The sequence below is a fragment of the Homo sapiens genome, chromosome 3, assembly GCF_000001405.40.
Source record: "Homo sapiens chromosome 3, GRCh38.p14 Primary Assembly".
NCBI classification, from domain to species: domain Eukaryota; kingdom Metazoa; phylum Chordata; class Mammalia; order Primates; family Hominidae; genus Homo; species Homo sapiens.
The window spans coordinates 48903531-48929017 of NC_000003.12; the positions used below are offsets into that span (position 1 = coordinate 48903531).

Consider the following 25487-nt stretch of genomic DNA (forward strand, 5'->3'; position numbering starts at 1 on the left):
TGGTGTGAACCCGGGAGGCGGAGCTTGCAGTGAGCCCAGATCGTGCCACTGCACTCCAGCCTGGGGGACAGAGCAAGACTCCGTCTCAAAAACAAAACAAAACAAAACAAAAAAAGTAGGAAGTTTGCTATACATGGCTGGGCATGGTCACTCACACCTGTAATCCCAGCTCATTGGGAGGCCAAGGTGAAAAAAAAAACACATAAAAATTAAAAAGCAAAAAGCAAAACCAAGAAAGAAAACATGGCAAGCAAATAAATTTGTGAAATCTGAAACCTGTAGTTATCTTTACGATCATTGATGTTAAAGTTTGCTATATGTGGGAAGGGCATGGTGGCTCAGGCCTGTAATTCCAGCACTTTGGGATCCTAAGATAGGAGAATTGCTTGAGCAATTCTCAAGTTAAAGACCAGTCTGGGAAACATGGCAAGACCCCCCCACATCTTTAAAAAAAAAAAAAATTGGCTTTTTTTTTTTTTTTTTTTTTGAGACGGAGTCTGGCTCTGTTGCCCAGGCTGGAGTGCAGTGGCGTGATCTCGGCTCACTGCAACCTCTGCGTGAGCCACCGCACCTGGCAACTTTTTTTTTCCTTAGAATCTCACTCCAACACCCAGGCTGAGTGCAGTGGTGTGATCTTGGCTCACTGCAACCTCCAGTTCCTGGGTTCAAGCGATTCTCCTGCCTCAGCCTCCTGAGTAGCTGGGACTACAGGCATGCACCACCAAATCCGGCTAATTTTTGTATTTTGTAGAAATAGGGTTTCACTATCTTGGCCAGGCTGGTCTCAAACTCCTGGCCTCAAGTGATCCAACTGCCTCAGCCTTCCAAAGTGCTAGGATTACAGGCATGAGCCACCGTGCCCAGCCTCCACTTTCTTCTTTATTTTTATTTTTTGAGACAGTCTTGCTCTGTAGCCCAGGCTGGAGTGCAGTGGCGCGATCGCGGCTCACTGCAACCTCCACCTCCCGGGTTCAAGCAATTCTTCTGCCTCAGCCTCCTGAGTAGCTGGGACTACAGGTGCCTGCCACCACGCCCAGCTAATTTTTTGTATTTTTAATAGAGACAAGGTTTCACCATGTTAGCCAGGATGGTCTCGATCTCCTGACCTCATGATCTACCCATGTCTGCCTCCCAGAGTGCTGGGATTACAGGCATGAGCCACTGCACCTGGCCAAGCTTTCACTTTCTTTTTCTTTTTCTTTTCTTTTTTTTTTTTTTTTTTTTGAGACAGACTCTCGCCCTGTCACCCAGGCTGGAGTGCAATGGCGACATCTGGGCTCACTGCAACCTCTGCCTCCCGGGTTCACAGGATTCTCCTGCCTCAGCCTCCCAAGTAGCTGGGATTACAGGCGTTCGCCACCACGCCCAGCTACTTTTTGTATTTGTAGTAGAGACGGGTTTCATCATGTCGGCCAGGCTGGTCTCCAACTCTTGACCTCCTGATCCGCCCACCTCAGCCTCCCAAAGTGCTGGGATTACAGGCGTGAGCCACTGTGCCCAGCCTCCTCCACTTTCTTATTTGAAAAACACATTAAATTTTTTTTTTTTTGAGACGACGTCTTGCTCCTTTTTCCCAGGCTGGAGTGCAATGGCCAGATCTCGGCTCACCGCAACCTCCGCCTGCCGGGTTCAAGCAATTCTCCTGCCTCAGTCTGGCGAGTAGCTGGGATTACAGACGGGTGCCACTACGCCAGGCTAATTTTTGTATTTTTAGTAGAGACAGGGTTTCACCATGTTGGCCAGGCTGCTCTTGAACTCCTGACCTTGTGATCTGCCTGCCTCAGCCTCCCAAAGTGCTGGGATTACAGGCGTGAGCCACCGCGCCAAGCCCAGAAAACATTAATTTTTAAAAAACAAAAAGGATAAAAAATAAAATGTCACTGTCCTCTAGACTGGATGGGAGTGTGAGATCCTGTCTCTACAAAAATAAAAAACAATAAAAAAAAGAAACATGGCCAGGTGTGGTGGCTCATCCCCTGTAATCCCAGCACATTGGGAGGCCAAGGCGGGAGGATAGCCTGAGACTAGGAGTTCGAGACCAGCCTGGACAACATAGTGAGACCTCGTCTCTACAAAAAAAAAAAAAAAAAAAAAATTGGCTGGGAGAGGTGGCTCACGCCTGTAATCCCAGCACTTTGGGAGGCTGAGGCGGGCGGATCGCCTGAGGTCAGGAGTTCAAGAAAAGCCTGGCTAACATGGTGGAACCTTGTCTCTACTAAAAAATACAAAAATTAGCTGTGCGTGGTGGCGGATGCCTGTAATCCCAGCTGCTCTGGAGGCTGAGGCAGGAGAATCCTTTGAAAATGGGAGGCGGAGGTTGCAGTGAGCCAGGATCGCACCATTACACTCCAGCCTGGGAGACAAGAGCCAAACCCCATCTCAAAAGGAAAAAAAAAAAAATTGGCCGGGCGCGGTGGCTCACGCCTGTAATCCCAGCACTTTGGGAGGCCGAGGCGGGTGGATCACGAGGTCAGGAGATCGAGACCATCCTGGCTAACACGGTGAAACCCCGTCTCTACTAAAAATACAAAAAATTAGCTGGGCGTGGTAGCGGGCGCCTGTAGTCCCAGCTACTCGGGAGGCTGAGGCAGGAGAATGGCGTGAACCCGGGAAGCGGAGCTTGCAGTGAGCCGAGATCGCGCCACTGCACTCCAGCCTGGGCGACAGAGCGAGACTCCGTCTCAAAAAAAAAAAAAAAATTAACCTGGCATGGTTATGCATGTCTGTGGTCCCAGATACTCATGAGGCTGAGGTGGGAGGATCCCTTGAGCCCAGGATGTTGAGGTTGTAGTGAGTCGTGTTTGTGCCACTGCACTCCAGCCTGGGTAACAGAGTGAGACTCCATTGCCAAAACAAAATACAAAAAACAAAACAAAACATCAAACTGAATCTAAGGGTTTTTTTTTTTTTTTGAGATGGGGTCTCACTCTGACGCCCAGGCTGGAGTGCAGTGGCACGATCTCAGCTCCCTGCAAACTCTGCCTCCCGAGTTCACGCCATTCTGCTGCCTCAGCCTCCCAAGTTGCTGGGACTACAGGTGCCCGCCACCACGCCTGGCTAATTTTTTTTTTTTTGTATGAGATTGTCTAAGAAATTTTTTTTTTTTCTGAGACGGAGTCTTGCTCTGTCGCCAGGCTGGAGTGCAGTGGCAACTAATTTTTGTATTTTTAGTAGAGACGGGGTTTCACCATGTTAGCCAGGATGGTCTCGATCTCCTGACCTCGTGAATCTGCCCACCTACGGCCTCCCAAAGTGCTGGGATTATAGGCGTGAGCCACTGCGCCTGGCCAGAAATTTTTGAAAAAGACCAATAAGGGCTTCAACCTGAGAAAGCTGATTGAAAGAAAAAAAATCAACGAAGGCATCTTGTTCTACCATACAGCAAAAAGAAACCGGCCAGTCATGGTGGCTCACACCTGTAATCCCAGCACTTTAGGAGGCCGAGGCGTGTGGATCACCTGAGGTAAGGAATTCGAGACCAGCCTGGCAACATGGCGAAAACCCATCTCTACTAAAAATACAAAAAGTAGCGGGACATGGTGGCACCCGCCTGTAGTCCCAGCTACTCGGGAGACTGAAGCAGGAGAATTGCTTGAACTCGGGAGGTGGAGGTTACAGTGAGCCGAGATCACACCAGAGCACTCCAGCCTGGGTGACGGAGCGAGACTGCATCTCTAAATAAAAAATTGGCCGGGTACGGTGGCTCATGCCTGTAATTCCAGCACCTTGGGAGGCCGAGGCAGGCGGATCACTTGAGGTTGGGTGTGTGAGGCCAGCCTGGCCAACATGGTGAAACCCTGTCTCTACTAAAAATATAAAAATTAGCCTGGCATGGTGGCGGGTGCCTGTATTCCCAACTACTTGGGAGGCTGAGACAGGAGAATTGCTTGAACCCAGGTGGTAGAGATTGCAGTGAGCTGAGATCGTGCCACTGCACTTCAGCCTGGGTGACAGAGTAAGATTCCATCTCAAAAATAAAATAAATAAATAAATAAAATAGAAAACAATTTTTAAAAAAGAAACCATGAAGCTGAAATTAAAACATTGTAGTATTGGACTGGGAATAGGCAAACAGACCTTCAAAACAGAACGAAGAGCCCAGATAACAAATCCATGGGAGACTGAGGCAGGATTGCTTTTTTTTTTTTTTTTTTTTTTTTTAGAAAGAGGCTCACTCTTTCCCCCAGGCTGGAATGCAGTAGCAGGATCTTGGCTCACTGCAACCTCCGCCTCCCAGGTTCAAGTGATTCTTCTGTCTCAGCTCCCCCAAGTAACCAGGACTCCAGGCACGTGCCACCACGCCTGGCTAATTTTTGTATTTTTTGGTAAAGATGGGGTTTCACTATGTTGGCCAGACTGGTCTTGAACTCCTTACCTCAGGTGATCTTTCCGCCTCAACCTCCCAAAGTGCTGGGATTACAGGCGTGAGCCACTGTGCCCAGCTGAGGTAGTATTGCTTTAACCCAGGAGGCAGGGGTTGCAGTGAGCCAAGATAGCACCACTGCACTCCAGCCTAGGTGACAGAGCATCACCTAGGGTCTTTTGAGACAGGGTCTTGCTCTGTTACCTAGGCTTGTCTCCTAGGCTAGGCCTCAGAAAAAAATTAAATAAATCAATAAATAAAATATTAGCATTTTGTACATATCTTTCAGGGCCCTTTCAATGAGTTAACATACATATTTATATATACAGCTATACACACCTACACACACACTTACACAAACTGTTTTCATTGATAAAAGGCTATATTGTAAATACCAGTTTGCTTTTTTCACTCAGTAGAGGCTGCTATTATTCTCCTAATTTCACAAATGAGCAAACTAAGTCACAGAGAGGTTAAGGTTCCCTGCCCAAGGTCACATGGACAGGAAGATGTGGAGTTGGGATTCTCTTTAAAGTATTATTTTAATTTTAGTTTTATTTTTTTGAGACAGGGTCTTGCTCTGTCACCTAGGCTGGAGTGCAGTGGCACAATCTCAGCTCACTGCAACCTCCACTTCCTGAGCTGAAGCCATTCTCCCATCTCAGCCCCACTAGTAGCTGGGACTACAGGTGTGCACCACCATGCCTGGTTAATTTTTTTTTTTTTTTTTGAGATGGAGTTTTGCTCTTGTCACCCAGGCTGGAGTGCAGTGGCACAATCTCAGCTCACTGCAACCTCTGCCTCCCAGGTTCAAGCGATTCTCCTGCCTCAGCCTCCTGAGTAGGTGGGATTACAAATACCCGACACCACGCCTGGCTAATTTTTGTATTTTTAGTAGAGACAGGGTTTCACCATGTTGGCCAGGCTTGTCTCAAACTCCTGACTTCAGGTGATCCACCTGCCTTGTCCTCCCAAGGTGCTAGGATTATAGGCATGAGCCACCGTCCCGGCCGAGGTTACTTTTTGTATTTTTTGTAGAGATGGGGTTTCCCTATGTTGCCAAGGCTAGTCTTGAACTCCTGAGCTCAAGTGATCCTCCTGTCTTGGCATCCCAAAGTGCTGGGATTACAGGAGTGACCCACTCTCCCAAGCCTCAATTTTGATTAATTAATTATTTTTGAGACAGGGTATCCCTATGTTGCCCAGGGTGGTCTCGAACTCCTGGACTCAAGCAATCATCCCACCTCAGCTTCCTGAAGTGCTGGAATTACAGGCATGAGCCACTGTACCCGGTCAAGGGTTTCTAATCCTAGCTGTCTGGCTCTAGACTACGCTTTGTTGGTCCGTAAGGCCAAAGCTTGTGATAGAGCTTTAGAGGATGTTGAAAAGAAAAATGATATGTTTTGTACTTTAAAAATATATATATTTTTTGAGACAGAGTTTCGCTCTTGTTGCCTAGGCTGAAGTGCAATAGTGTAATCTTGGCTCACCGCAACCTCTGCATCCCAGGTTCAAGCGATTCTCCTGCCTCAGCCTCCCGAGTAGCTGGGATTACAGGCATGTGCCACCACGCCCGTTAATTTTGTATTTTTAGTAGAGACGGGGTTTTGCCAGGTTGGCCAGGCTGGTCTTGATCTCCTGAGGTGGCTCACACCCATAATCCCAGCACTTTGGGAGGCTGAGGTGGGTGGATCACCTGAGGTCAGGAGTTCCAGACCAGCCTGGCCAACATGGTGAAAACCCATGTCTACTAAAAATAACAAAAATTAGCCGGGCGTGGTGGCAGGCGCCTGTAATCCCAGCAATTTAGGAGGCTAAGGCAGGAGAATCGCTTGAATCTGTGAGGCAGAGGTTGCGGTGAGCCAAGATCATGCCATTGAACTCCAGCCTGGGCAACAGGGCGAGACTCCGTCTCAAAAAAAAAAAAAAAAAAGAAAAATCCCACCTTCTATCTTGAAAAAAATAAATCTTTTTTAAAAAAAGAATAAAAATAAAATGTACTGGGCCGGGCACGGTCGCTCACGCCTGGAATCCCAGCACTTTAGGAGGCCAAGGTGGGAAGATTACCTGAGGTCAGGAGTTTGAGACCAGCCTGGCAAACATGGCGAAACACCATCTCTACTAAAAATACAAAATTAGCCAGGCATGGTGGTGCATGCCTGTAGTCCCAGCTACTCGGGAGAATGAGGCAGGAGAATCGCCTGAACCTGGGAGGTGGAGGTTGCAGTGAGTCGAGATTGTACCATTGCACTCCAGCCTGGGCGGCAAGAGCAAAACTCTGCCTCGAAAAATAAAAATAAATAAATAAGTAAATAAATAATAAAATGTACTGCACTCCAACATGGGTGACAGAGTGAGATCCTGTCTCTACAAAAGTAAAAAATATTTTAAAGCAGGGCGACTAGTTAAGGGACTACTGCTCACATCCAAAGACACATTGAGGGTGGCTTGGAATAGAGCTGCAGGTAGTGGTAAGTGCTAAAGTCAGGACATATCTCAGAGGTATAGCTCATGGGAATTGCTTGTGGACTGAATGTGAAATTTGGAAGAGGAAAGCTCATGGAAAACTTGTGATTTGTTTTTTCTTTCTTTCTTTTTTTTTTGAGACAGAGTCTTGCTCTGTCGCCCAGGCTGGAGTGCAGTGGTGCAATCTTGGTTCACTGCAACCTCCTGGGTTCAAGCAATTCTCCTGCCTCAGCCTCCCGAGTAGCTGGGATTACAGGTGCCCACCACCATGCCCAGTTAATTTTTGTATTTTTAGTAGAGACAGGGTTTTGCTATCTTGGCCAGGCTGGTCTTGAACTCCTGACCTCAGGTGATCTGCCCACCTCGGCCTCCCAAAGTGCTGGGATTACAGGCGTGAGCCACCATGCCTGGCCAAATTTGTGAATTTTTGGCCTGAGTAAATGGAGAGAGAGTGGTATTGAGCTGGGAAATATTGGGGGAGTGGCAGGTTTGGAGGTAAATTTGAGAATTTTGTTTTATTTAAGACATGTTAAATTCGAGTGCCGATATGACATCCAAATGGAGGTATTGAATGGACAACTGCATATACTGAGTGTGAAGTATAGGAAATTTGGTAGGATTAGAAATGAAAACCTGGAAGTCATCAGTATACGGGAGGTCCTAAGGCAAAGAGGTTGAATGAGATCACTGGGGAAGGAGCGTAGATGGAAGAGAGGCTGAGGATTGAGTCTACCAACTCTCCTATGCAGCACTCCTCACGGTGATAATTTTTTTTTTTTTTTTTTTTTTTTTGAGACGAAGTCTCACCCTGTTGCCCAGGCTGGAATGCAGTGGCGCGATCTCGGCTCACTGCAAGCTCCGCCTCCCGGGTTCACGCCATTCTCCTGCCTCAGCCTCCCAAGTAGCTGGCGCCTGCCACCACGCCGGGCTAATTTTTTTTTTTTTATTATTTGTAGTAGAGACGGGTTTTCACGGTATTAGCCGGGATGGTCTTGATCTCCTGACCTCGTGATCCGCCCACCTCAGCCTCCCAAAGTGCTAGAATTACAGGCATGAGCCACCGTGTCCGGCTCACGGTGATAATTTTTATTTTTATTTTTCTTGTATTTCCATCCAGTGCACTCACAGTGGTAATTTGATACTTATTGTTGAATTATTCTACTAATTTCTGCATCTCCTATTAGAACAAAGCTCCTTGACCACAGATATTGTGGTCCTCTTTACTTACCATCTATAACAACTTGGTGCCTGGCCTTTAACCAGTCTGAAAGAACAAAGCATTTAAGAAATGTGATTTGGGCTGGGCGTGGTGGCTCACGCCTGTAATGCCAGCACTTTGGGAGGCTGAGGTGGGCGGATCACGAGGTCAGGAGATGGAGACCATCCTAGCTAGCAGGGTGAAACCCCGTCTTTACTAAAAATACAAAAAAATTAGTCAGGCATGGTGGCAGGCGCCTGTAGCCCCAGCTACTCGGAAGGCTGAGGCAGGAGAATGGTGTGAACCCAGGAGGTGGAGCTTGCAGTGAGCCGAGATCGCGCCACTGCACTCCAGCCTGGGTGACAGGGCGAGACTCCATCTCAAAAAAAAAAAAAAAAAAAAAGAAATGTGATTTGGCAGTATCCATTACAATGTAAAATGAGCATAGGAGTTGACTGAGCAATTCCTCTATTTCCATTTCTAGAAATAAAATCAAAAACGTGTTCACAACTATGCAAAAAGAACTACAGGCTGTGGCTCACACCTATAATCCCACCACTTTGTGGGGCCAAGGCAGGAGAATTGCTTGAGCCCAGCGGTTTGAGACCAGCCTGGGCAATATAATGGGACCCCATATCTATTAAAAAAAAATTCTCCAGGCATGGTGGTGCATGCCTATAATAGTCCCAGCTACTTGGGAGGCTGAGGCAGGAGAATCACTTGAGCCCAGGAGATTGAGGCTGCAGTGACTGCACCACTGCACTCCAGTCTGGGTGACAGAGAGAGACTACATCTCAAAAGAAAAAAGAGGGCCAGGCACGGTGGCTCACACTTGTAATCACAACACTTTGTGAGGCCTAGGCGGGTGGATCACCTGAGGTTGGGAGTTCGAGACCAGCCTGACCAACATGGAGAAACCCTGTCTTTACTAAAAATACAAAATTAGCTGGGCATGGTGGTGCATGCCTGTGATCCCAGCTACTCCGGAGGCTGAGACAGGAGAATCGCTTGAACCCGGGAGGCAGAGGTTGTGGTGAGCTGAGATCATGCCATTGCACTCCAGCCTGGGCAACAAGAGCGAAACTCTGTCTCAAAAAAAAAAAAAAGAAAAAGAAAAAGAAAGAAAGAAAGAAAAGGGAAAAAAAAGGACTACATCCAAGGGTGTTCACTGAAACACTCTTTATAATTGTGAAAAATTGGAAACAGATAGCCGGGCACAGTGGCTCACGCCTGTAATCCCAGCACTGGGAGGCTGAGGCGGGTGGATCACAAGGTCAGGAGTTCGAGACCAACCTGCCCAATGTGCTGAAACGCCATCTCTACTAAAAATACAAAAATTAGCCAGGCATGGTGGCATGCACCTGTAGTCCCAGCTACTCGGTAGGCTGAGGCAGGAGAATTGCTTGAACCTGGGTGGCGGAAGTTGCAGTGAGCCGATATAGCGCCACTGCACTCCAGCCTGGGTGACAGAGTAAGACTCTATCTCAAAACAAAACAAAATTGGAAACAGATGACTTGCAATTGGAGACTGCTCAAATATAATACATTTATACTGTTATATACTCAGAAGGGTTACAGCACTGTCAAAAGGGTAGGCTCTGGATTCAGATGCCTGGGGTTAGAATCTTAGCTTGGATGGGCATGGTGGCTCATGCCTGTAATTGCAGCACTTTGGGAGGCAGAGGTTGGTGGATCACTTTAGGTCAGGAGTTCGAGACCAGCCTGACCAACATGGTGAATCCTTGTCTCTACTAAAAATACAAAAATTAGCCAGGCATGGTGGTGCGTGCCTGTAATCCCAGCTACATGGGAGGCTGAGGCAGGAGAATCGCTGGAACCCGGTAGGTGGAGGTTGCAGTCAGCCAAGATTGTGCCACTGCACTCCAGCCTGGGCAATAGAGCTAGACACCGTCTCAAAAAAAAAAAGTACTTTAGTTTGATCACTTGTTTGTGAAATGGGGATAATAATAGCAGCTTCTACTAAGTGAAAAAAGCAGCAGAATGATATTTGCAATAGCCTGCTACTAATGAAAAGGTTACTAATGAAAAGCTTTGTGTAAATGTGTGTGTGGGTAGCTATAAATATAGACATACACTGAATTTATTTATTTATTTTTTATTTTTATTTTTTTGAGACAGAGTCTTGTTCTGTTGCCCAGGCTGGAGTACAGTGGAGCGATCTCGGCTCACTGCAACCTCTGCCTCCCGAGTTCAAGCAATTCTCTTGCCTCAGCCTCCTGAGTAGCTGGGATTACAGGCATGTGCCACCATGCCTGACTAATTTTTGTATTTTTAGTAGAGACAGGGTTTCACTATGTTGGTCAGGCTGTTCTCGAACTCCTGACCTCATGATCCGTCTGCCTCGGCCTCCCAAAGTGCTGGGATTACAGGCATGAGCCACTGCACCCGGCCGACATGTACTGTATTTAGATGCATAGAAAGTGTCCTAGAAGGATGCACACCAAACTCTGGACAGTGGCAACAACCCCAAATAGGAGAAAAGAAAGGTGGAGTATATTAACGGGAGTATTCACAAGCTGCTATCAGTATTCTTGTATTACATTTTTACAACTTCATGTTATCATTACATTAGTTGCATAATTAAATTCAATAAAAACAAAGATGAATAAGATGAGAGATATACTGATATATGCAATATGTGCTTTGTGACACATATTTTCCAAAAATGGCTACACCAACCTGTATCTCATTTTATATGCTTTGCTTATAATGCAGTGTTGGTGTTTCTCCATTGACGGTGGAGCTGCATTCCCTCCCCTTGAACCTGAGAGGATCTTTGTAACTGCTTTGACTAATAAAATGTGGCAGATGTAATGCCGTGTGACTTTGAAGGTTAGGCCACAAAGGGCAACATGGCTTCCACTTGGCTCTCACTCTCTTAAGACCCTTGCCCTTGGCCGGCCAGAGTGGCTCACACCTGTTATCCCAGAATTTTGGGAAGCTGAGACAGGCAAATCACTAGAGACCAGGGGTTCTAGACCAGCCTGGCCAACATGGTGAAACCCCATTTCTTTCTTTTTTTTTTTTTTTTCTCGAGACAGAGTCTCACTTTGTCGCCCAGGCTGGAGTGCAGTGGCACGAGTGGCGCGATCTTGGCTCACTGCAACCTCCACCTCCCAGGTTCAAGCAATTCTCCTGCCTCAGCCTCCCAAGTAGCTGGGATTACAGGTGCCCACCACCAAGCCCGGCTAATTTTTGTATTTTTTAGTAGAGACGGGGTTTCACCATGTTGGGCAAGCTGGTTTCGAACTGCCGACCTCAGGCAATCTGCCCGTCTCGGCCTCCCAAAGTGCTGGGATTACAAGTGTGAGCCACCGCGCCTGGCAGTGAAATCCCATTTCTACTAAAAATACAAAAATTGACTGGGCCTGGCAGCTCACATCTGTAATCCCAGCACTTCGGGAGACCGAGGCAGGCAGATGGCTTGAGGTCAGGAGTTCAAGACCAGCCTGGCCAACATGGAGAAACCCCGTCTCTACTAAAGATACAAAATTAGCCAGGCATGGTGGTGCATGCCTGTAATCCTAGCTACCTGGGAGGCTGAGCGGGGAGAATTGCTTGAATCCGGGAGGCGGAGGTTGTGGTGAGCCGAGATCGCACCATTGTACTGCAGCCTGGGCAACAAGAGCAAAATTCCATCTCAAAGAAAAAAAAACAGAAAAAATAGCTGAACATGGTGTGCACGCCTGTCATCCTGACATCTCAGCTACTATGGAGGCTGAGGCACAAGAATCACTTGAACCCAGGAGGTTGCAGTGAGTTGAGATCATGCCACTGCACTCCAGCCTGGGCGATAGAGTGATACTCTGTCTCAAAAAAAAAAAAAAAAAGACCTTTGCCCTTCAAATCCAGCCACCATGTTACCAGGAAGCACAGGCCACATGGAGAGATCATGCATGTGTATGTTCTGGCTGACAGCCCCAGCTAGGCCCCCAGCTGACATCACCCACCAGAAGTATGAGTAAACAACTTTGCCTATGATTCCACTCCCCAGTCTTTGAGTCTTCTTGCTGAGGCCCCCTCAGCTGTGGAGCTGAGATAAACCTTCCCATTGTGGCTTGTCTGGATTCCTGTTCCAAAGAAACCATGAGAGACTTTGTATATTTTATATGCATTCATATTTTATTTACTTTTTCTTTTTTGAGACAGAGCTACTGTGTTGCCCAGGCTGGAGTGCAGTGGTGCAATCTCGGCTCGCTGCAACCTCCGCCTCCCGGGTTCAAGTTATTCTCCCTGCCTCAGCCTCCCGAGTAGCTGGAATTACAGGCATGCACCACCATGCCTGGCTAATTTTTGTATTTTTTAGTAGAGACAGGGTTTTGCCATGTTGGTCAGGCCGGTCTGGAACTCCTGACCTCAGGCGATCCGCCCGCCTCCACCTCCCAAAGTGCTGGGATTACAGGTGTGAGCCACCACACCCGGCCCCTATCCTATTCTTATCACTTGAGTATATCACAAATAACCTTTCCTTGTCAATAGGTGCCTTAGTACAGCATTTTTTTTTCTTTTTTTGAAGACAGGTTCTGGCTCTGTCCCCCAGGCTGGAGTGCAGTAGCCCGATCTCTTGCTCACTGCAGCCTCCACATCCTGGGTCTTAAGTGATCCTCCCACCTCAGCCTCCCAAGTAGGTGGAGCTATAAGCACATCCAGCTAACTTGTATTTTTTGTAGAGACGGGGTTTCACCATGTTGCTCAGGCTGGTCTTGAACTCCTAGGCTCAAGTGATCCACCTGCCTCAGCCTCCCAAAGTGCTGGGATTACAGGCGTGAGCCACCACACCTGGCCAAAACTTTTTCTTTTTTTTGTAGACATGGAATCTCACTATGTTGCCCAGGCTGGTCTCCAACTCCTGGGCTCAAGCAATCCTCTCACCTTGGCTTCCCAAAGTGCTGGGATTACAGGCTTGAGCCACCATGCCCTGCCACCCAGTATGATTTATTTCATTTTTTTTGGTAAAGTGAAAGCAAGTTTATTAGAGAAGTAAAGAAACAAAGGAGACCAGGAGCAGTGGCTCACGCCTGTAATCCCAGAACTTTGGGAGGCCGAGGTGGGCGGATCAAGGAGTCAAGAGATCCAGACCATCCTGGCCAACATGATGAAACCTTGTCTCTACTAAAAATACAAAAATTACCATCCTGGCTAACACGGTGAAACCCCGTCTCTACTAAAAATACAAAAAAAATTAGGCGTGGTGGCGGGCGCCTGTAGTCCCAGCTACTCGGGAAGCTGAGGCAGGAGAATGGCGTGAACCCGGGAGGCGGAGCTTGCAGTGAGCCTAGATCGCGCCACTGCACTCCAGCCTGGGCAACAGAGAGAGACTCCGTCAAAAAAAAAAAAAAAAAAAAAAAATTAGCTGGGCGCGGTGGTGCGCGCCTGTAGTCCCAGCTACTCGGGAGACTGAGGCAGGAGAATCACTTGAACCCAGGAAGCGGAGGTTGAAGTGAGCGGAGATAGCGGCTCTCTCACTGCACTCCAGCCTGGGCGACAGAGCGAGACTCCGTCTCAAAAAAAAAAAAAAAAAAGTAATTGCTACTCCATAGGCAGAGCAGTCCACCCGACAAGGTTTTTGTTGTTGTTGTTGTTTGAGACAGAGTCTCGCTCTGTCCCCCAGGCTGGAGTGCAGTGGCGCGATCTCTGCTCGCTGCAACCTCCGCCTGCCGAGTTCAAGCAATTCTCCTGCCTCAGCCTCCCGAGTAGCTGGGACTACAGGCGCCCACCATCACGCCCGGCAAATTTTGTAAATTTTTAGTAGAGACAGGGTTTCACCATGCTGGTCAGGCCAGTCTCGAATTCCTGACCTCGTGATCTGCCGGCTCCGGCCTCCCAACGTGCTGGGATTACAGGCGTGAGCCACGGTGCCCGGCCACGCGGCATGATTTTTAATGGCTTTCTACATTGTATGGTTTGTTATTGTTGTTTTGAGACAGGGTCTCCTTCTATCACCGATGCTGGACTGCAGTGGTGCGATCTTGGCACTCTGCAGCCTCGACCTCCTCGGCTCAAGCGATCCTATATCACCTCAGCCCCCTGAGTAGCTGGGATGCACAGGTGTGTGCCACCTCGCCCAGCTAATTTTTAATTTTTTTGTAGAAAGGAGGGGGGTCTCACTACATCAAATTCTTGGGCTCAAGCGATCCTCCCACCTCGGCTTCCCAAAGTGCAGGGATTACAGGCATGAGCCACAGCGACCAGCCAGCACAGGTGTCTTTATTTGTTTTATTTTTTATTTTATTTTATTTTATTTTGAGACAGAGTCTCGCTCTGTCGCCCAGGCTGGAGTGCAGTGGCGCCATCTCGACTCACTGCAAGCTCCGCCTCCCGGGTTCACGCCATTCTCCTGCCTCAGCCTCCCGAGTAGCTGGGACTACAGGCGCCCGCCACCACGTCCGGCTAATTTTTTTGTACTTTTAGTACAGACGGGGTTTCACCGTGTTAGCCAGGATGGTCTCGATCTCCTGACCTCGTGATCCACTCGCCTCGGCCTCCCAAAGTGCTGGGATTACAGGCTTGAGCCACCGCGCCCGGCCTGCACAGGTGTCTTGAATATGTATATACGCGACTCCAGTATGGTTGGAAATGATTTGATTTGTTGTCTATGGAATTGCACAACCTGGAGCCTTCCTAACATCAGCGGCTTCATACTGGCATTTCCATTGTGGTGCAGCAACAATCTGAGTGAGCCTCCGTCTCTAGCCACATCATTTGACAACCGGTCCCAGAAGGTAACTGGAAGTCATGATGACAACTCCTATACTGTGAAAAGAAACTGCAAGCAAGGCAGTTAAGATGCAATCTTGCACGGTGACCGTAAGTCGGAGAACTGCGCGGCGAACGAGGCCTCGGCAGGGGAAGCGAAAGCCTGGTGTGGTTGCGGCTCTGGGGCCACCCTGCGACCGCCTCGGGGTGTAGGCAGAATTTCCCGGCCCAGCTCCCCTCTGACCAGATAGCGGCCGAGAAACAATGGTTATCTGCTCCACTGACGCCAGGATGTCTTCTCCGTGCCCGATCCCGGAGTACAAACAGTGAAATGAGAAGCCGGTGAGAAACGCGCTGGTTAAAAACATCTCGACGGGAGACGCTGGTAGGCGAATAGTGGCTCCAGACGCGGTCGGCGCCTGCCGTACCCTGGTCAGACTCTGGGTCAGAGCGCTAAGTTTCAAGGAGGCGGCGCTAAACAGGCCCTCTAGCCGGGAGCCTGTCGCGACCCGAGCGACCGTGGGTCGACCCCGATCCGGAAGTGACGCAACGGCGCCAAGCACTTCCGGAGCTGTGGGGACGACTCTTCTGGAGGAAGCAGCGCGGGCTTGACCGGCGTCGGCCCGCCGCCTCCGCTGCCGCTTCGCCCCAATCCGGTCCCTCTGGCCCGGCCTGACCCGGTCTGGCTTGTTCGGGCTCAGCGGCCGCGAGGCCGCAGCTCCCGGTAAGTGCGCGGCGCACGTCACGGCCTTGTTTACCTTGGCTGGCCGCTGGGGGGGCCTCTCCGCGCGCCTCCCTGGCCGGGCCGGGACTCCGCCTTCGCCGTCGCCCGGGAGGCCCGGGCGCTCCCCGTCGCCGGCACGTTGTCCGAGCATTACCCGCCGTCAGCGGCCGGGCGCCCAGCGTGTGTCTGCCTTTTTTCCTCCCGCCGCCTTCTCAGCTCTCGGAAAGGTCAGAGGCCACCGCCTCTGACCAACCGGCGCCGGCACATCTAGGCCCTCTCTCCCTGTCTGGCGCGGCGGGGAAACGCGCCGCCTCGGGGCTCACCACTCGAGTCATCTTTGGGAGCTCTCGCAGCGCTGCCCGCGCGGTTTAACGCCCGCCTGTGGAGGGTATCCCCAGCTCGCGGGCTCCGCGTCCGCGCGAATATCCCGGAGCCCGCGGCGCCCCTAGGGATGTGCGGCCCCGGAGCTGTGCCGCCGCCTCGCCAGAAGCTGGTTGGGCAGCCGCGTTCTTGGATGACTTCTCCTTAGTACTGTTCATTGCCTGGTCCCATAGAACTTTCTGTCATAGCGACATGTTCTTTACCTTTGCTGTTCAGCATGGTAGCTACTAGCCACACGTGGCCGTTAAGCATTTGACCTGTAGGCTAGTGCACCTGAGAAACTAAATTTTAAATTTTACTTACTTTTTAAGTGTAATTAAATTTAAATAACCACATGTGGCTAGTGGTCACCGTATTAGAAAAGACAGATACAAAGTGTAGGATTTTGAAACGAAATTGCTGATTTCTAGTTTTGTGCCAAGTCGTTTTTCTTCGGAGGTGTAGTTAGTAAATGACCTGAATTCAGCGCTAGTGATCATATCTGGAGTAAACGTCTTCAGACTCACTAAAACTTACGTGTTCTGTGCGTGGTGGGCAAGCCCAGGATGGTTGGTTGTTAGGTCCCCTGAACATGTGACTTTGGCTCTGGAGGAAATTTTTTTTTTTTTTTTTTTTGGTGGGCGGGACAAAGTTGCTGTCACCAGGCTGGAGTGCAGTGGCGGCGATCACAGCTAACTGCAGCCCCGACTTTCTGGGCTCAAGTGATCCTCCTTTCTTAGCCTCCTAAGTAGCTGGGACCACAGGCACGTACCACCACACCTGGCTAATTTGTAAAATTTTTTGTGGATACGTGATCTTAATAGGTTGCCTAAGCTGGTCTTGAACTGCTGGGCTCAAGCTATCCTCCCGGTTTGACCTCCTAAAGTGCTGGGATTACAGGCGTGAGCCACTGTGCATGACCTTTAAAAAAATTTTTTTTGAAAAAGTGCCCGGCCCACTTTTTCAAGTAGAATTCGGATATTTAACTTTGAGATGATTAAAAATTAAATTTTCATTTAAATGTGCACCTAGAACATTTAGTATGAAATGGAGTTCTCTCTCTTTTTTTTTTGGAGGAGCCTGGAGTTTTCCCCACCTAAATATTTGGTTGGTGAGAAGCCTGTGAGCAATTTCTTTTTTTTTTTTTTTTTTTGACACGGAGTCTCACTGTGTTGCCCAGGCTGGAGTGCAGTGGTGCAGTCTCGGTTCACTGCAGCCTCCATCTCCCAGATCAAGCAGTTCTGCCTTAGCCTCCCGAGTAGCTGGGATTACAGCTGGGATTACACCCAGGCTGGTTGGAGGGCAGTGGCGTGATCATGGCTCGCTGCAATCTCCTGGACTCAAATAATCCTCCTCACTTTGGGAGGCCGAGGCGGGCGGATCACGAGGTCAGGAGATCGAGACCATCCTGGCTAACACGGTGAAACCCCATCTCTACTAAAAATACAAAAAATTAGCCAGGCATGGTGGCGGGCGCCTGTAATCCAGTGAGCCGAGATCGCGCCACTGCACTCCAGCAAGACTCTCAAAAAAAAAAAAAAAGAAAGAAAAGAAAAGAAATATTGTCCCCTTGGAACAAGATCAGCACTTTTTCTTTCTTTCATTTATTTATTTTTATTTTTGAGTCCCGCTCTGTCTCTCAGGCTGGAGTGCAGTGGCGCGATCTCGGCTCACTGCAACCTCCGCCTCCTGGGTTCAAGCGATTCTCCTGCCTCAGCCTCCTGAGTAGCTGGGATTATAGGCGCATGCTACCACGCCCAGCTAATTTTTGTATTTTTAGTAGAGACAGGATTTCATCATGTTGATTAGGCTGGTCTCGAACTCTTGACCTTGTGATCTGCCACCTTAGCCTCCCAAAGTGTTGGGATCACAGGCGTGAGCCACCGTGCCCGGCCCACTTTTTCAAGTAGAATTTGGGTATTTAACTTTGAGATAATTAAAAATTAAATTTTCATTTAAATCTGCACCTAGAACATTTAGTATGAAATGGAGTTCTCTCTCTTTTTTTTTTGGAGGAGCCTGGAGTTTTCCCCACCTAAATATTTGGTTGGTGAAAAGCCTGTGGGCAATTTCTTTTTTTTTTTTTTTTTTTTTGACACGGAGTCTCACTGTGTTGCCCAGGCTGGAGTGCAGTGGTGCAGTCTCGGTTCACTGCAGCCTCCATCTCCCAGATCAAGCAATTCTCCTGCCGTAGCCTCCCGAGTAGCTGGGATTACAGGTATGCGCCACCATTCCTGGCTAATTTTTGTGTTTTTTGTAGCAGTGAGGTTTCACCATGTTGCCCAGGCTTGTTTTGAACTCCTGAGCTGAAGCCGTCCACCCACCTTGGCCTCCCAAACCAAAGTGCTGGGATTACTGGCATGAGCCACCACACGTGGTCCTGGAATTTTTCTTTTTTTTTTTCTTTTTTGAAGACAGGGTCTCACTCTGTCGCCTAGACTGGAGTGTAGTGGCGTGATCTTGGCTCACTGCAGCCTCAACCTCCTGTGCTCAAGAAATCCTCCCACCTCAGCCTCCCAAGTAGCTGGGACTACAGGCATGCACCACCACGACATTTATGAGTAATGTGACATAAATGAGCCACGACAGCATGAGTAAAGTGAGATCTGAAATATTAGCATTATTCTGTGTTAGATTACCACAGTGGAGGTGATTTTGTAGTAAAAGTTAAATTTTAAGTCAGTTACAATTTGCTTGGTCAACATCTACATAACATTTAGGATTGAAATTGTGGTAGTTGAGAATCTGAAGGACAGAAATACTGGAGTAAAGAAGCAGGCTTTCAGCTGGGTGAGGTGGAGGTTACAGTGAGCTGAGATGGCAACACTGCACTCCAACCTGGGTGACAGAGGGAGGCCCTGTCTCAAACAAACAAAAAAAAGAAGTGGTCTTTCAAACTGAGAGAGAGAATTGAGATTAAATTATTGCTACCTGTTTACTTAGATTACTTTCTTTTTTTTTTTTTTGAGACGAATTTTCTTGTCACCCAGGCTCAAGTGCAGTGGCGCGATCTCACCTCACTGCAACCTCTGCCTCCCTGGTTGGAGTGATTCTCCTGCCTCAGCCTTCCGAGTAGCTGGGATTACAGGTGCTCGAACTCCTGACCTCAGGTGATCCACCTGCCTTGGCCTCCCAAAGTGCTGGGATTACAGGCGTGAGCCACAACACCCAGCTGAATACTTTCTTTTTTTAGAAGGTCATGTAACTCTTGTCAATATAATTATGTCATGGATTTTTTTTGTTGGCACTTTAAAAGAAGATAATTAATTTAATAGTTACTCTGTCCCTTGTTACTTGTCCTTTAAAATACCTTTGCTTTAAAAAAAAAATAAACTTGCAAAAGCAGTATACCAGCTTTAAAAATATAAATATAATTCTTTTCATTTTAGATGGAAATCATATTATGTAGAATACTTGGGTGACATCTGCCTGAGAGATCTCCAAGAATTACAGGTATCTTTAATTTAAAGATTAACTTTTTCTCCTAAAGAAAAAACACCATCGTTAAGTTTAGTTGTGATTATGTGGCTCTACCATACAGAAGAGTTTGTTAAAAGTCAAACTGCTGGCCAGGCACAGTGGCTTGCATCTGTAATCCCAGCACTTTGGGAGGCTGAGGTGGGCGGATCACGAGGTCAGGAGATCGAGACCATCCCGGCTAAAACGGTGAAACCCCGTCTCTACTGAAAATACAAAAAATTAGCCGGGCGTAGTGGCGGGCGCCTGTAGTCCCAGCTACTTGGGAGGCTGAGGCAGGAGAATGGCGTGAACCCGGGAGGCAGAGCTTGCAGTGAGCCGAGATCCCGCCACTGCACTCCAGCCTGGGCGACAGAGCGAGACTCCGTCTCAAAAAAAAAAAAGAAACCTTATCTCTATTAAAAATACAAAAAAAATTAGCTGGGCATTGTGGCATGTGCTTGTAATCCCAGCTACTGAGAGACTGAGGCAGGAGAATTGCTTGAACCCGGAAGGCAGAGGTTGCAGTGAGCTGAGATCGTGCCACTGCATTCCAGCCAGGGTGACAGAGTGAGACTCTGTCTCAAAAAAAAAAAAAGGTCAGACTGCAAACATTATTTTTATTGCCCCACAATTAATAGGGTTTTTTTTTTAATTTTTAGAAATGGGAGCATTTATAGTTAACATATCAACTTAGATATAGTGAGTGTTTTTTTTTTTTTTTAAGATAGAGTTTCCCTCTTGTTGCCCAGGTTGGAGTGTAATGATGCAATCTTGTCTCACTGCAGTCTTTGCCTCCGGGGTTCAATCCATTCTCCTGCTTCAACCTCCTGAGTAGCTGGGATTACAGGCATGTGCCACCACGCCCAGCTAATTTTGTGTTTTTAGTAGAGACGGGGTTTCTCCATGTTGGTCAGGCTGGCCTTGAACCCCCGACCTTAGGTGATCCACCCGCCTCGGCCTCCCAAAGTGCTGGGATTACAGGTGTGAGCCACCGCGCCTCGCCAATATTTTTATTATATAAAAATGTGACTGTAGGCTGGGCACAGTGGCTCTTGCCTATAATCCCAGCGTTTTGTAAGGCCAACGCAGGAGGATCGCTTGAGGCCAGGAGTTTGAAACCAGCCTGAGCAACATAGTAAAACCCTGTTTATACAAAAAATAAAATTAGGTATGGGGGTGGCATATGCCTGTAGTCCCAGTTACTCAGGAGGCTGAGGCAGGAGGATCTGTTGAGCTCAGGAGTTGGAAGCTGCAGTGGGCCATGATCATGTTTTTATATCTCAGACTGGGTGACAGAGTGATACTATGTCTCAGTACTCCATAGTCTTTTAGACTGGTTACAAATTCTTTTTCCTTTTGGTAGACGTGAGTGTCACTATGTTACCCAGGCTGGTTTGGAACTCCTGGTTTTGAATGATCCTCCAGCCTCAGCCTCCCAAAGTGTGGGGATTATGATACAGGCGTGAGCCACTGATACAGATGTGAGCCACTGTACGTGGGCCTTTTTTTTTTAAGTAGAAGATTATTTACCTGAATTATTATTATTATTATTATTATTTTTGGAGACAGAATCTCTCTGTTGCCTAGGCTGGAGTGCAGTGGCACGATCTCACTGCAGCCTTGACCTTCCAGGCCCAAGCAGTTCTTCGATGTAGCCAGGACTACAGACGCATGACCGCTATGCCTGTCTTATTTTATTTATTTGTTTATTTTTTGTGTGTGTGACAGTGTCTCACTCTTGCCCAGGTTGGAGTGCAGTGGCATGATCTTGGCTCACTGCAACCTCCTCCCTGGTTCAAGTGATTCTCCTGCCTCAGCCTCCCAAGTAGCTGGGATTGCAAGTGTGCACCACCCTGCCAAGCTAATTTATTTTTTATTTTTTATTTTTTTATTTTTTCAGATTGAGTCTCGCTCTGTTGCCCAGGCTGGAGTGCAGTGGTGCAATCTCTGCTCACTGCAACCTCCGTCTCCCGAGTTCAAGCAGTTCTCCTGCCTCAGCCTCCTGAGTAGCTGGGATTACAGGTGCATGCCATCATGCCTAGCTAATTTTTGTATTGTTAGTAGAGATGGGGTTTCACGTGTTAGCCAGGATGGTCTGGATCTCCTGACCTCGTGATCTGCCTGCCTCGGCCTCCCAAAGTGCTGGGATTACAGGTGTGAGCCACTGCGCCCAGCCTAATTTTTGTATTTTTAGTAGAGATGGGATTTTGCCATGTTGGCTAGGCTGGCCTCAATCTCCTGGCCTCAGGTGATCTGGCCACCTTGGTCTCCCAAAGTGCCGGGATTTTTTTTCTTTTTTTCTTTTTTTTTTTTTGAGACGGAGTCTCGCTCTGTCGCCCAGCCTGGAGTGCAGTGGCGCGATCTCGGCTCACTGCAAGCTCCGCCTCCCGGGTTCACACCATTCTCCTGCCTCAGCCTCCCCAGTAGTTGGGACTGCAGGCGCCTGCCACTATGCCCGGCTAATTTTTTGTATTTTTAGTAGAGACGGGGTTTCACCATGTTAGCCAGGATGGTCTCGATCTCCCGACCTCGTGATCCACCTGCCTCGGCCTCCCAAAGTGCTGGGATTACAGGCATGAGCCACCGCGCCCAGCTGATTTCTTTTTTTTTTTTTTTAAATGTGTTGTAGAGACATGGTCTCACTAGGTTGTTCAGGTGGATCTTGACCTCCTGGCCTCAAGGGATCCTCTCATCTCAGCCTTCCAAAGTTCTGGGATTATAGTTGTGAGCCACACCCTCAGTCTTTGTTTTAGATTATGGTTGGTTGTTTTTTTTCAGACAGATTACCTACTTCAAGTAGACTTTATATTTGCTTTTGTATTTAATCAAGATTTGTTTATATAAATTGTTTATGTACTGTTAAATCCAAATGCTCTTACACTTTAAGGTTCTATTAGTTTTAGATTTTTTTTTTTTTTTTGAGATGGAGTCTCACTCTGTTGCCAGGCTGCAGTACAGTGGCGGGATCTCGGCTCACTGCAACCTCCGACTCCCTCGTTCAAGTGATTCTCCTGCCTCAGCCACCTGAGTAGCTGGGGATTACACGCACGCACCACCACGTATAGCTAATTTTTGTATTTTTAGTAGAGATGGGGTTTCACCACGTTGGCCAGGATGCTCTTGATCTCCTGACCTCGTGATCCACCCGCCTTGGCTTCCCAAAGTGCTGGGATTACAGGCGTGAGCCACCGCACCTGGCCTAGTTTTAGATTTAAATCGCTAGTTGATATTGTTCCTTTCAGCTCATCAGTTGAAATGGTAGTTGTGTAGAAAAGTTAATGGGTGTTTGCCACAATCTTCTGTGAGTTGAAGTTAGGGTTTGTGACTGTTTCACTTTCTCAACTAGTATTCTCTTTTCGTTTATATGTAATTAAGTAACATTTCGCTGTTTGCGGGCTTTTCTTTTTTGAGATGGAGTTTCCCTCGTGTGTGTGTGTGTGTGTGTGTGTATGTGTGTACGTGTGTGTGTGACGGAGTTTCGCTTTTATTGCCCAGGCTGGAGTGCAGTGGCGCAATCTCAGCTCACTATAACCTCCGCCTCCTGGGTTCAAGCGTTTCTCCTGTCTTAGCCTCCCAAGTAGCTGGGATTACAGGTGCCTGTCACCACGCCTGCTTAATTTTTTTGTATTTTTAGTAGAGACAGGGTTTCACCATATTAGCCAGGCTGGTCTCGAACTCCTGACCTCAGGTGACCCACCCATCTCAGCCTCTCAAAATTCTGGGATTACAGGCGTGAGCCACCGCACCCGGCCAATGGAGTTTCACTCTTGTCATCCAGGCTAGAGTGCAGTGGCGCAATCTTGGCTCACTGTAAACTCTGCCTCCCGGGTTAAAGTGATTCTCCTGCCTCAGCGTCCCGAGTAGCTGGGATTACAGGTGCATATCACCACACCTGGCTAATTTTGTATTTTTAGTAGAGATGGGGTTTCGCCATGTTGGCCAGTCTGGTCTTGAACTCCTGACCTCAAGTGATCCACCCACCTTAGCCTCCCACAGTGCTGGGATTACAGGCATGAGTCACCACACCCGGCCAGTAGAACTCTTTAAACCTGAAAAATCAGTCAACTTTGCAGACTAGAGGAGGATGTTGAACACCTATGTGTGTTTTTTTTTTCTTTACCAACTATGCACCTATTTTTCAGACACCTAAAAGTAATGTCTGTGAAACAGTGGTTTTCTTTTTCTACATATTACAGCAGGAAGTGTTCCTATTTATGTACTGTCTGTATCAATACTAACGGGGCATGATAAGCAAAATTTTAAACTTTGGTAGTTAAACCTTTATGTTGCCTCCCCTCTGGGCTGCCAGCTGTGGGGATGTGCTTCTCCCTTAAGGACTTTGGCAAGAATAACAAGTTCATTGGAATTTGACTTTCTGACATAGAGCAGACAGCCTTGCCCTGTCATGCCAGGCCTTTCATGTGAAGTTACCATTTATTAGCTGCTTCTGTCTCTCCAGGGAAGGATTTCCCTTTTATAAGCCTGGGCCAGGGGGATGATAGTAAGATTCCCCATGTGATACCAGAGTTGGAATAGGCTGTAGTGAGATTAGGGCCAGGACTGTCCCATTTTGATTCTTGAATGGTTTCTGTTACAACTTGTCATGGGGAAAAAGTAACACTTATTTTTTTTTTCCTCCCTTAGAAGACAAAAATACTAATGCATTTGAGAAAGCGGTAGTTTTGGGGGGAGGGGGAAAAAGCAACTGCTTTCCTGATCTGCAACTTGGCTGGATGCTAAGATGTCAGTGGACATGAATAGCCAGGGGTCTGACAGCAATGAAGAGGACTATGACCCAAATTGTGAGGAAGAGGAAGAAGAAGAAGAAGACGACCCTGGGGACATAGAGGACTATTACGTGGGAGTAGCCAGCGATGTGGAGCAGCAGGGGGCTGATGCCTTTGATCCCGAGGAGTACCAGTTCACTTGCTTGACCTACAAGGAATCTGAGGGTGCCCTCAATGAGCACATGACCAGCTTAGCTTCTGTCCTAAAGGTGAGCAGTGTTGTAAACTCCAGTGTAATCCCCCCCAGTTAAATCTAAGGATGAGCTGTTGTTAATTAATGTCTCCTCCAGACTAATTGAATGGCCTTGTAGCTTGAAACCAAATTTAAGTGTATGTCAACATCATTTGGACATTTTGTTACATTTACTTTGTTTTCTAATATATGCATGTCTAAGGTCCTCAGATTCCCAAATTAGTAAGAATTAGAAAGTAGGGGTGGGACAGATTCAAGAAAGATGTACCATACCAGAAATGTGTAGTAGCAGAATTGCACAACTTTGCACGTTTCAGGAAGTGAGTTTTCAGAATTTTATGAGGTTGATACAATAAGCATCAGAATCACCATCTTCTGTACGACTGTGAGTGACTGATAAATGTCTTGAGAGTATACAGATCCCTCTGGTTTGCCCTGAATAGTCATTGCCTTTGGGCTAATGAGCTCATTTGTTTCATGTACTGATTTTAATAATAATTCTTTCTTATGCTTGTATTTCATTGATTTAGGGGGTGTTAGTATGGAAATTGTAAAGAATGAACAAAGTTGATTACCCCATCAGCAAGCATTTTATTTAACACATAAGCTAAAACATACCTTTGGATGTCTTGTACCTTAGGCCAGTTATTATCCTATTTACATTTTTTATGATCATTTTGACAGTTTCCCAACAAGCATGTTTCCTTCTCTAACACTGGCCATTATGGGAAATTGGAAATATTTCTCTTTAGTGTTTTCACTAATCTTTTTTCATGAATTGTTACTTGGATTTTGTTTCTGATTAAATTGGAGGTCAAAAGGGCACCTTGGCATGATGTCAACCAAATAAATTTTATTGGAACTTAAACAGAAATAACTAAGGTGTGCCTTGTATGATTTCTATAAAATTTGCTTTATCTACTAGTTTAGGGATTTTTTTTTTTTTCCCCAGATGGTTGGCAAAGGCTAATACCTTGAATTTAGATACTCAGGTCTTTATTAGCAACTGGCTGGAAGCTGAAAGCTAAGTTGTTTTTTTTTTTGTGTGACTAATTTCTAGAAGTGATTGTAGACTTCCTGTCTTGTGCTGAGCAGAAAACTCTGAAGAATGAGGACCTATGGATCCTCTGGGTTTGGGATTTCTGCACTATGGCTATAACAAAGCTGCTGGACCCCTGCCTCCAGAGGGCATTTCCCTGGTAGAAAACAATAATCGGGTT

The 25487-nt window shown here is 47.5% G+C and overlaps 1 protein-coding gene and 1 long non-coding RNA gene across 40 annotated transcripts in view, besides 11 other annotated features; one reads left to right on the forward strand and one right to left on the reverse strand.

Annotated features, from left to right (window-relative positions):
* Window positions 14189-14939: an enhancer, noted in NCBI's record as "H3K27ac-H3K4me1 hESC enhancer chr3:48955152-48955902 (GRCh37/hg19 assembly coordinates)". NCBI's record gives its function as "activates a minimal SCP1, AML or CMV promoter by ChIP-STARR-seq in naive H9 embryonic stem cells {active_cell/tissue: H9 hESC(naive)}" and the evidence as "EXISTENCE:reporter gene assay evidence [ECO:0000049][PMID:30033119]".
* Window positions 14189-15691: a biological region, named in NCBI's record as "hESC enhancers GRCh37_chr3:48955152-48955902 and GRCh37_chr3:48955903-48956654".
* Window positions 14258-15855, reverse strand: ARIH2OS (ARIH2 opposite strand lncRNA). Its single transcript, NR_161301.1, has one exon. It is a non-coding gene; the product is annotated as an ARIH2 opposite strand lncRNA (long non-coding RNA).
* Window positions 14745-15214: an enhancer, noted in NCBI's record as "active region_19845". NCBI's record gives its function as "activates an Ori minimal core promoter by ATAC-STARR-seq in GM12878 lymphoblastoid cells {active_cell/tissue: GM12878}" and the evidence as "EXISTENCE:reporter gene assay evidence [ECO:0000049][PMID:35858748]".
* Window positions 14940-15691: an enhancer, noted in NCBI's record as "H3K27ac hESC enhancer chr3:48955903-48956654 (GRCh37/hg19 assembly coordinates)". NCBI's record gives its function as "activates a minimal SCP1, AML or CMV promoter by ChIP-STARR-seq in primed H9 embryonic stem cells {active_cell/tissue: H9 hESC(primed)}" and the evidence as "EXISTENCE:reporter gene assay evidence [ECO:0000049][PMID:30033119]".
* ARIH2 (ariadne RBR E3 ubiquitin protein ligase 2) overlaps window positions 15312-25487 on the forward strand; it is a 67541-nt gene continuing 57365 nt past the window's right edge. For 7 of the 39 annotated variants that reach the window (NR_146083.2, NM_001349223.2, NM_001349216.2 and 4 more), the window contains exons 1-3: window positions 15312-15468; window positions 19218-19281; window positions 23932-24283. Coding sequence is in view for 15 of the 39 variants with exons in the window: in NM_001349214.2 (NP_001336143.1) it covers window positions 24029-24283 (255 nt within the window). In the remaining 24 variants the exon portion in view is untranslated. Of the gene's footprint in view, window positions 15469-18818; window positions 18939-19217; window positions 19282-21187; window positions 25142-25487 lie in introns of those variants that run through there. The other 32 variants (NR_146085.2, XM_047447278.1, NM_001349227.2 and 29 more) reach the window with 12 other exon arrangements.
* Window positions 15385-15484: a silencer, noted in NCBI's record as "silent region_14342". NCBI's record gives its function as "represses an Ori minimal core promoter by ATAC-STARR-seq in GM12878 lymphoblastoid cells {active_cell/tissue: GM12878}" and the evidence as "EXISTENCE:reporter gene assay evidence [ECO:0000049][PMID:35858748]".
* Window positions 15555-15634: a silencer, noted in NCBI's record as "silent region_14343". NCBI's record gives its function as "represses an Ori minimal core promoter by ATAC-STARR-seq in GM12878 lymphoblastoid cells {active_cell/tissue: GM12878}" and the evidence as "EXISTENCE:reporter gene assay evidence [ECO:0000049][PMID:35858748]".
* Window positions 15692-16442: an enhancer, noted in NCBI's record as "H3K27ac hESC enhancer chr3:48956655-48957405 (GRCh37/hg19 assembly coordinates)". NCBI's record gives its function as "activates a minimal SCP1, AML or CMV promoter by ChIP-STARR-seq in primed H9 embryonic stem cells {active_cell/tissue: H9 hESC(primed)}" and the evidence as "EXISTENCE:reporter gene assay evidence [ECO:0000049][PMID:30033119]".
* Window positions 18126-18626: an enhancer, noted in NCBI's record as "H3K4me1 hESC enhancer chr3:48959089-48959589 (GRCh37/hg19 assembly coordinates)". NCBI's record gives its function as "activates a minimal SCP1, AML or CMV promoter by ChIP-STARR-seq in naive H9 embryonic stem cells {active_cell/tissue: H9 hESC(naive)}" and the evidence as "EXISTENCE:reporter gene assay evidence [ECO:0000049][PMID:30033119]".
* Window positions 20629-21129: an enhancer, noted in NCBI's record as "H3K4me1 hESC enhancer chr3:48961592-48962092 (GRCh37/hg19 assembly coordinates)". NCBI's record gives its function as "activates a minimal SCP1, AML or CMV promoter by ChIP-STARR-seq in primed H9 embryonic stem cells {active_cell/tissue: H9 hESC(primed)}" and the evidence as "EXISTENCE:reporter gene assay evidence [ECO:0000049][PMID:30033119]".
* Window positions 21130-21630: an enhancer, noted in NCBI's record as "H3K4me1 hESC enhancer chr3:48962093-48962593 (GRCh37/hg19 assembly coordinates)". NCBI's record gives its function as "activates a minimal SCP1, AML or CMV promoter by ChIP-STARR-seq in primed H9 embryonic stem cells {active_cell/tissue: H9 hESC(primed)}" and the evidence as "EXISTENCE:reporter gene assay evidence [ECO:0000049][PMID:30033119]".
* Window positions 23404-23463: an enhancer, noted in NCBI's record as "active region_19846". NCBI's record gives its function as "activates an Ori minimal core promoter by ATAC-STARR-seq in GM12878 lymphoblastoid cells {active_cell/tissue: GM12878}" and the evidence as "EXISTENCE:reporter gene assay evidence [ECO:0000049][PMID:35858748]".